The following is a 10,112-nucleotide window of genomic DNA, read 5'->3' on the forward strand; positions in this document are numbered from 1 at the left end:
TTACCCATAGACATCCTATAATGGGTGAACAATTGTCATCATGTAGCCCTATGTAAGTCACTCTTAATATTGTTCATAAACAGGTTGGCAATATAAAATAAAATAAGACCCAAATTCAAGAGTGGATGATAATTCTATTAGCATTAAAGTATTTCTACGGTAAGGTGTTTTATCCACTTCAGAATCATCCGAAACACAATGTGCTCTTAATGAATAAATAATTTCTAGAAAGTTTAAAAGTCTCTCTTTCGCTCAGGCCCTTGGCACTGGCAGGATGGGCAAGTGTCGTGTACTTCGTAATGCTAGGAAGCTCCATAGTCACCGAAAAGACCAGAAGTGGCGTGATAAACACCAAGAAAGCCCATTTAGGCACAGCCCCGAAGGCCAACCCTTTTGGAGGTGCTTCTCCTGCAAAAGGAATGATGCTGGAAAAAGTAGGAGTTGAAGCCAAACAGCCAAATTCTACCACTAGGAAGAGTGTCAGGGTCCAGTGCATCAAGAATGGTAAGAAAATCAGAGCCTTTGTACCCAATGATGGTGAGGAAAACGATGAAGCTCCGGTTGCTGGATTTGGTCAAAAAAGTCATGCTGTTGGTGACATTCCTGGAGTCTGCTTTAAGGTTGTCAAAGTAGCCAATGTCTCTCTTTTGGCCCTATACAAAGGCAAGAAGGAAAGACCAAGATCATAAATTTTAATGGTGAAAACACCATAGTGATAAATTTTCATTTGAAAAAAAAAAAAAAGGATAAAAAAATGGTTCTGCTCCAAATAAGTTTTTTGTCAACACAGCATTTAGGGAGTCAGTTCTTACTCAGTTGGTATGATGTGCTATCCAAGGACTAATTTAAAGAGCTTAATCAAATGGTCATTGTCGAAATGATATGGAATATGAGATAAATATGTTATCAGAAGATCTATCTTGTCTTTTTCTTAAAACTAAATTTTCCATTAGAATGTTATATGTTCCCATATTTTATTTTATTCTAGTATTTAGTTAGTTGCATACATAACATTATCTGAAATCCTTTCTTTATATATGGTATATAATAATTATTTACAAACATATGTTAAACTGGTTAAGGTCAGGTATAAAAATTTGTCAAAAGCTTGAAATTGTTCTTTTCACACTGTATTTCTATCACAATAAGTGAAATGATAAGGTTTTTTAATTAAACATTAAATTATCTAGACAAAAGGTATATTAAAAATATTTAAAGTGTCTTAAATTTTAGTTCCAAGCTTTGATAAAATTCAAGTAATTCCTAAATACCTTTTTGCTATTCTAATTCAAGGCCCAATGTTATACCTACTAATAAAAATATAAATTTGAGTTTATAGTAATTTTAATATGTATTTATATATCAAATAAAGATACAAGTGTTATTTTAATCGAGATATTATTTTATTCAAGTTATATCTTTAATCTCTATAAACTCTATAGGAGAAAATACAAAAAAAATTTTTCACCAATATCAGAAACAGTTTATAAAAGATAATTTACTTTTTGAAGGTAGTAAACCTGGGGTATCTTTTCATGAAATAACAGAGTGACGATTTCTCTATGTAATATGATTAATATTATTAGCCAAAATAGATGAGTCAGAACTTTATCCTATTGTCACTGTTTTATTGTTCACACTAACTAGAATATTCATTTCTATCTTATCAGTGGATCATTTGCAAGAAATGAAAATACTTTAAAGAAGTCTATATAATTTAATATATTTACTTGATATTTTTTACCTATTAAATATGTGTAAAAGGAAATGTACTAAGATCATAAAATTAAGGAAAGATAAGAATGGAATTATTAAAAATGCTTATAGTCATTTTGATTTCAGAGCATGTGGCTAAAATAATCTAAATTTCAGTGTTTTGAGGAATCATACATTGATTAAGCTTTTGGAAGGTTTACCTTAGGGGAGTTTAATGGAAAGACACAATGGGGAAAGAGTCATGTTTAAAATCAAACATTCCTTTGACTAGAGGGTGAATGTTGTCAAAAGTAATGAAAGCTGGCCAGATTTTATGTATGAGGCAGTTTTCATCCACACAAACCAAAAAGAAGAGGCAAATATATATATATATATAATATATATATATCACATAGATGATATATATGTGATATATATATGATATTCAATTCAATATATTCTATATATATGATATTCAAAATTACTTTATTTGGATTTGAAATTAAGGTCACTTTAGTGTTCCATGCTGCAAGTGCTAAATAACTGCATAGCAACAGAATAGTCTTTGGAATTTTTCAATATTTCCAATACAGACATTAGCAAAATATCAGATGTCATCATCTTTAAACAAGACATGAAATAAACAAGTTAAGGACCTTCAACATGATGGCTAATAGCTATATGTGAGTTCTAAACCAAACAAACAGGTTCCTAAGGATCCTAAAGAGACTTACGTCACAGTCTGACAAATTATTGTTATATTGAAAAACATTAAGAACACATTCTCTCCAAAATAAAGTTTCCATTTAGGCACAATCAGCAGGGCTTAATTAGAAAACATGAATAATTGAACATGCTGCTGATGTCTTTGAGCAACAAACCTAAGAGTCACGTAGAAGCAAATTTTTATTAGACAAAAGGGCATGTTGTACTGAATCATTCTCCAATGTTTTCCTGTATCTGATGGCAACATTTTCAGTGATAATTCAAATGAATACCCTCCGAGCAAATACTATAAATATGTCTTCAGTTAAAATAGGAAAAAAAATCAAATAAATAAAACAAACAAAAACTCTTGCAATCTCTACACAAAGCCATGTTTCTAGAAATATAATAGAGAAAGAGGGAGAGGGAAAAGGTATAGATTAGAAATGCCTTAGTATATTGCAGTCTTCATAGAATTAATCAGTCTGGCAATGGTATTAAAAGCCAAGCTTACAAATACTCTCTACTGAAGCACAGTTTGAATTTATGTACCGGTTTCTCACTGTATGTAAGTCCCTCCCTAGTCGTGTGCTAAGAGAGCATATGCTAAATGCTGACCTAAAATCCTCAGTGGCTATTCCAGGTTCAGTGTGTTTACTTGAGGTTATTAAAAATATATCTGTTAGTAAGCAGTGTTTAAATTACCTAAAACAGTTTGGGCACACATAAACAAAATCCAAATAGCCAAAAACAAAATAAAATTAAACACAAAAGCAAAAGTGTTGAAATAAAAAGCCAACTCTGTAAAATACTTAAAGAGGTTTATTCTGAGCCAAATATGAGTACTCATGGCCTGGGGTACAGTCTCAAGAGGTCCTGAGAACATGTGCCCAAGGTGGCCAGGCTAAAACTTGGTTTTGTATATTTTTAGGGAGACAGAAGTTGTAGGCAAAGGTATAAAACATATAAGGTATTCATTGGTTTGGCTTGGAAAGGTGAAGCATCTTGAAGCAGAGAGGTGGTAGAGGGAGTGCTTACAGGTCTTAGGTGGATTTCAGAGATTTTCTGATTGTCTTGAAAGAGTTAAGCTTTGCCTAAAGTTGAAGTCACCAGAAAGAAATGCTTGAGTTAACGGGAGTTGTCGAAGCCAAGTTTCTTGTTATGTAGATGAAGCCTCTAAGTAGTAGCCTTCAGAGACAGTAGATGGTAAATGTCTCTTTTCAGACCTTAAAACCTGTCAGATTTTTAAGGTCTGAATCCAGAAAAGACTTAAAAAGGGAAGGAGATTCTCCACAGAATGCAAATTGCCCCAACAAGAGACATCTTGTCAGGCCCCTTTTAAAATATGTCAATTAAATACATTTTGGGGTAAAATGCCTTGACTTCCTTCAGGGTCATGTGATACTATACCAGTGTCAGGTTGGAATTTGGTACTTCATTGCTATAGAGTCTGTTTTGTCAGTTTTATGTTCTCTATTTTAATGTTAATCCTGGTCAGTTGTGCAGAAACCCCAAAGGGCGGGGGCTTAATGAGGCTTGTCTGACTCCCATTTCCTGCTATGGCCTGAACTAGTTTTTCAGTTTTTGGGGGATCCCCTTTGGCAAGAGAAAGGAGTCCCTTCAGTCAGTTGGGGGATTATCATTTTATTTTTGGTTTATCTAGTTACTGATTTTCCTGGAGCCATGCCCAACACTATTTCTATGTCTTTCGTTTTTGTTATCTTTGGTATTATGGTCCATGTATCATTTTCTTGGATTCCCTGTTTGTTCAGGATAACTAACCAAAGGGGTCTCACCTCTTTCTGTTTTATTATTTTATCTACTGTAAAGAGGAATTGCAACATTGTCTGTAAAAGCTGCAGCTCCTGCTCCTGCTCTTGCTGACTTTGCAAAGTCTTCCTTGCCCTCTATATAACCTTCCATTATATTGCTCTCTGCTTTTCTCAATTTGCTTCTCTGTCCATATATTGCGCTATGCCTCAGGACTTCCAGACCTGAAGGAGACATCAGAGTACACCTTAAAAACCCTGAACTAAGTGAGATTGTGACCGCCCAATGGGTTCACCTTGCCCACTGCCTAGACAAAGCTGATTTATCAAGACAGGGGAATTGCAATAGAGAAAGAGTAAATCACTCAGAGCCGGTTGTGCAGGAGACCAGAGTTTTATTATTACTCAAATCAGTCTCCCTGAGCATTCGGGGATCAGAGTTTTTAGGGACAACTTGGTGGGTAGGGGGATGCCAGTGAGCCAAAAGTGCTGATTGGTTAGGTAGGAGATGAAATCATGGGAAGTTGAAGCTGTCCTCTTGTGTTGAGTCAGTTCCTAAGTGGGGGCTGCAAGATCAGATGATCTAGTTTATCCATCTAGATGGTTCCAGCTGATCCATCAAGTGCAGAGTCTGCAAAATATCTCAAGCACTGATCTTAGGAGCAGTTTAGAGAGGGCCAGATTCTTGTAGCCTCCATATGCATGACTCCTAAACCGTAATTTCTAAACTTGTGGCTATTTTGTTAGTCCTACAAAGGCAGTCTGCCCTCCAGGTAAGAAGGAGGTTTGTTCTGGGAAAGGGCTGTTATCAGCTTTGTTTTAAACTATAAACTAAGTTCCTCCCAAAGTTAGTTCAGCCTACGCCCAGGAAGGAACAAGGACAGCTTAAAGATTAGAACCAAGATGGAGTCAGTAAGGTTAGATCTCTTTCACTGTCTCAGTCATAATTTTGCAAAGGCAGTTTCAAGATCACTGAGCAGTTTTTTCTTACTGGCAATGGCAGCCATGACCTGTGCCCATTGCAGTGATACCAATACATGCTGACTAATTCCTCCATGTTTGCTTTCTTGGGTCTTCCAGTCCTTCCACTTGCTTCTCTCAGCTCTCTCAAAACAGACAACTCAATGTTTCCATTTGAAATAACTTTCCAGGAGCTTCTGTTTAGAAGACAGTTCCTCAGTTAAGCCTCAGAGGTCTACTCTGTTTCTCTACAACATAGTCTCCAAATTCCAGGATTCCAGCAGACGCATTTCCACAGAGTTACTGCCCAGAAAGACCTTGAGACATATTTTAATTGTCATCCAGGATATTCAAACCACACACAATAAATTCCTCACCCAACTCCCATTTACTTGTCGCTGTCCTTAAACATTTTATGAATAAAATTTTTATTTTATTTATTTATTTATTTATTTTTGAAACAGAGTTTCTCTCTTGTTGCCCAGGCTGGAGTGCAATGGCACAACCTTGGCCCACTGCAACCTCCGCCTCCGGGGTTCAAGCGATTCTCCTGCCTCAGCCTCCCAAGTAGCTGGGATTGCAGGCATGCACCACCACGCCCCATTAATTTTATATTTTTAGTAGAGACGGGGTTTCCCCATGTTGGTCAGCCTGGTCTCGAAATCCTGACCTCAGGTGATCCGCCCACCTCAGCCCCCCAAAGTTCTGGGATTACAGGCATGAGCCACGGTGCTCAGCCTGTATAAAATTTTTAAAGGGATGACCCAAAATACCTCAATTTGAAGAGGCAGTATAGTGCAATAGTTCAAAATTCATATTCTGTGACCAGACTGCCCGAGATTCTAGTCTTAAGGCCACTGCCTCCCTACCGAAAGGACCTTCAGTGTTTCATTTTATCTCTCTGTGCCTCCATGTTTTCACCTGTAAATGGGGTAATATTTATCTTGAGCTTTTTGGAAATAAATGTGCTAATTATGTAGAGTGCTTAGAAAAATGTTGCCATTAAAACTGCCTTTGCAAATATTGTAACTGAGGCAATTATTACAGTGAAAGAGATCTGACCTAACTGACTCCATCTTGCTTCTAACCTCCAAGCTGCCCTTGTTCATTCCTGAGCGTAGGCTGAAGTAATTTTGGGAGGAACTTAGTTTATGGTTTAGCTTTTAAAACAAAGACGTTAACACCCCTTTCCCAAAACAAACCCCATTCCTGCCTAGGGTCTAGATTGCCTTTGCAGGAGTAACAAATGAGTCACGAGATCAGAAATTATGGTTGAGGAGTCATGCAGCTGGAGGGTGCAAGATTCTATACCTCCCCAAATTGCTCCTGGGGATACCATCACTATTTTAAAACATAAGATGAGATCCTGAGATATTTTGCAGACCCTGCACTTGATGGATTAACTGGCTCATCTGACCTTGTGGACCCCACCAAAAAACTGACTTAGTGCGAGGACAACTTCGACTCCCTGTGATTTCATCTCTGACCTGACCAATCAAAACTCCCAATTCACTGGCCTTCCCCCTACCAACAAAATTATCCTTAAAAACTCCGATCCCCAAATGCTCAGAGAGACTGATTTGAGTAGTAATAAAACTCCGGTCTCCCACACAGCCTGTTCTGCATAAATTACTCTTTCTCAATTGCAATTCCCCCATCTTAATAAATCAGTAATAAGCAACATATCAATTGTTAGCTATCAATGTTATTATTATTACTATTATTACTAGTATTGTAACTAAACATAGGCTCAACTGCTTGCTGCTTGCAAAGCCAATAACAGGGATGAGTTAGTGAAAGGAAATTGACTTTATTCCAGAGCTAGCAGTGAGGAAATGGTCAAGGCTAGTACCTTAAGGAAACCATTTCAAACTTTAGGCTGGGACAAGGGGCTTACAAAGGGAACTTGGAATGGGAGGCATGTGGAAATAGTCCTGAATACAAGGTCTGTGTCTTCTGTTCTGGTGGCTTTCTTGAGTTGTGCTCCACCTGGAGTGCAGGCTGGCATTATCTCAACCATGGCCAGGTTGTTAACTAACCACTTTGAGGTAATCTCTGGAATTTTGCAGTTGGGTCTCCCTGCCTGGTCTGTCTCATGATTAGCCCCTGGAACTTCTAAGTAAGCACATAGTTAAGTGTGCATGGTGTAAGTTTAACAAGCATACAGTTACATAAATGTGCATGGTGTAAGGGGGTTGTATGATGGAAAAAGGAGGAAATAAAGGGTTTTCAGGTACTTTTCAAGGCTACATTCTCAGATTAAGAAGGGAAAAAAGCTCTAAAATGCATTTCTAGGCTGGTATACACAGTTACAGTATTAGTGAGAGAAAGCCAGATGTTTGTCTTTTATTTTCTACTAATTCAATGAACAATTTTACAAAATTATAAACTTTTTGCAGCTTATTTTACTTTTAAGGAAAGAATTGCCAGTTAATATACAAGACCTTTCCTAACACTAAAAATATGAATTTCAAACTGAAGCAAAGCTGTTCTTAAAATATTTAAAATGAAGTGTATTTAAGACTACTTTATTTTTACATTACATATTATTATAAGACAACCTCTTAGATACTATAGAATAATACATTAAAATTTTTATTACCTATATATTTTATAATGTGATTTCATTTTAAAACAAAATTATGTTAATAGGTTTTTCCCACATTATTTTTTTCTGACATTATAATTGATATATGCATTTTTTTACCTTGAATCACTATTTACAATTATTCCTAGAAAGAAAAAAATGTCAAAATGTGTCGTTTCTTTCTCTATAATGATATTCTGTGTGAATAGATGCATCTGAGATTTTTTCTCATTTCAATTCATTTCACATGTAATATTACATAGCCTGGAGTATAAACAAAAACTAAAAATAAAAACACATATTTCTTAGCTTGTAACAGCTATGATACACTTCCTGTAAAGAAGAAATAACCTAACCAAAATAGCAGTTTCAGAAAACACCTCTTCAAAGAGAAATTGTTTAGAAAAGGTATGATCTTAAAAGAAGAGCTGAGATGTTAAATAGTTAAGTTTTTACCTAAAAAATCAAACACCTATAAAACATCAATATTTCTAATAATCATTAATCTTTGGCTTACAAGTACCTGGGGCGGGAAGCTTGTTACTTAACAAGGCATCACATTCCTTTGCATTTCTGAAACACTCAAATTGAGTCACAAGTCGCCTCCATGTCATTTCCCTTCAGAAGTCCCGCCTCTACCCTCTATTTTGTAAGAAATAAATGCACTATCTTAAGATATTTCTTATGACATGATTCTTAGCTTTTAACTATCCTAATTGTTCTTCCCTAGTCATTCGTCTTTGACAGTTTTCCTCTGAAAATCTCAGGCAATTTCACAGTCATTTCTTGTTTCCTTTCTAACATGAAATACACAAATGTAAACTTAATGAAGCACACAGTTGAAAATCAGAGGACTGCATTTTTTTTTCCTTTTGTACAACAACTTTTATTCTGCTTCTTCAACAAACATCTTAGAACATAGTAGCAACAAAAACATACATTTAGTCCAAAAATTAGAATGACCTATTTCAGGTCAATTAAATTTAAATGGCTGCCATCAATCCCTTTGCTTTGCATTTTATCATCAAGCATTATGTTACTGATTTTAATGTCCAGTTAGCTACTTATCTATTTTTATTTGTTGCCAAAATTAATTTCTTGGGTTTCTATTATGCGGTAAATCTATTCTATAAAGAGCTGAGAAAGTGTTATGCCTTAATTGTAAAATTAGGAGATAAAAAATCAACTTGTTTAAACATATTGCCAAACTCACCAATAAGTATGAAACATGAAATAAAGTTCTGTCATCCAATTTGTGAGAAATCAAACACATATATTCTCAAAGATAATTAGAAACCAACTTCTCTCCACAGTTTACCTCTGAATGAATAGGCACATACCTGGTGTTTTTATTAATTCCACCCCCAACCCCCACATATAGATGAAAATTCTACCATGCTGCCCCAGCTGTAAAGGAGTCACCTGCAATCCTGAGTGAGACATTCTTTGTGATGACTTCTTCCAAATATTGTAGTTATACAATTGTAGTTATACAATCTACAGGAATAGATATTTGGAAGAAGTCATCACAAAGAATGTCTCACTCAGGATTGCAGGTGACTCCTTTACAGCTGGGTCAGCATGGTAGAATTTTCATCTATATGTCGGGGTTGGGGGTGGAAATTGAAGAATGATGATAAATAAGAATAAAAGAAAAATGGAAACATACTTTTCTGGAATTTAAAATAACTCATGATCTAGCCAAGTTTGTTTTTACAAATATTAAATGAAATTCCAAAAATCTATAAATACAAAATTGCTGTTAGCAATACAGCCGGTAGGAAGGTGAGGAAACAGGGCATGCTCTGTTTGAATAAAGTTAATATAAGTGAATAATAAATTATGGGAAGAGAAATAGGCACTCTAGTAACTTTGCTTCTTGAAGAACATGTTTTATGCATTTATGAAAATTCTCCCATAAATTAAGTAATGCATTAAAGAATGCAAGAAAAGGTAAACATTTTATTCAAACCAGTTGTGTTTCATTTCCCAGTTTTATTATATACCATGGAAAAGTGATTTTAAATTCCTAACTAAACCCTGACTTGCATCAGAAAATAATCTTCAATTCCACTTTTAAATTTACTTTTAAAAAGGAAAATGTGTATTTTACTGAAATCTTATATTAATAAGATAACTTTGCTTTTTATATAACACTTTGGCCAGAAATCCTGAGTTTTACTCTATGTACTTGCTTACGTTTATCTGATGCATCTTAACAATAAATCTGTGACAATTTAGGCAATGCTGGTAAAGAATATCTTTAGTTAAACCAAACCAAAGCTGTGCTAAAGGTTGTAACATCATGTGCTGGCAGTTCCAAGTGAATTAGGCAAACTCTAATTTTACTAATTCAAAGATTATTAGGTATGTACTTGAGGTAACTGTCACATGCA

The 10,112-nt window shown here is 35.4% G+C and overlaps 1 pseudogene; it reads left to right on the top strand.

The window, feature by feature from the left end:
- Positions 244 to 738, top strand: RPS23P2 (ribosomal protein S23 pseudogene 2; annotated as a pseudogene).

Source organism: Homo sapiens, chromosome 4, assembly GCF_000001405.40.
Source record: "Homo sapiens chromosome 4, GRCh38.p14 Primary Assembly".
NCBI classification, from domain to species: Eukaryota; Metazoa; Chordata; class Mammalia; order Primates; family Hominidae; genus Homo; species Homo sapiens.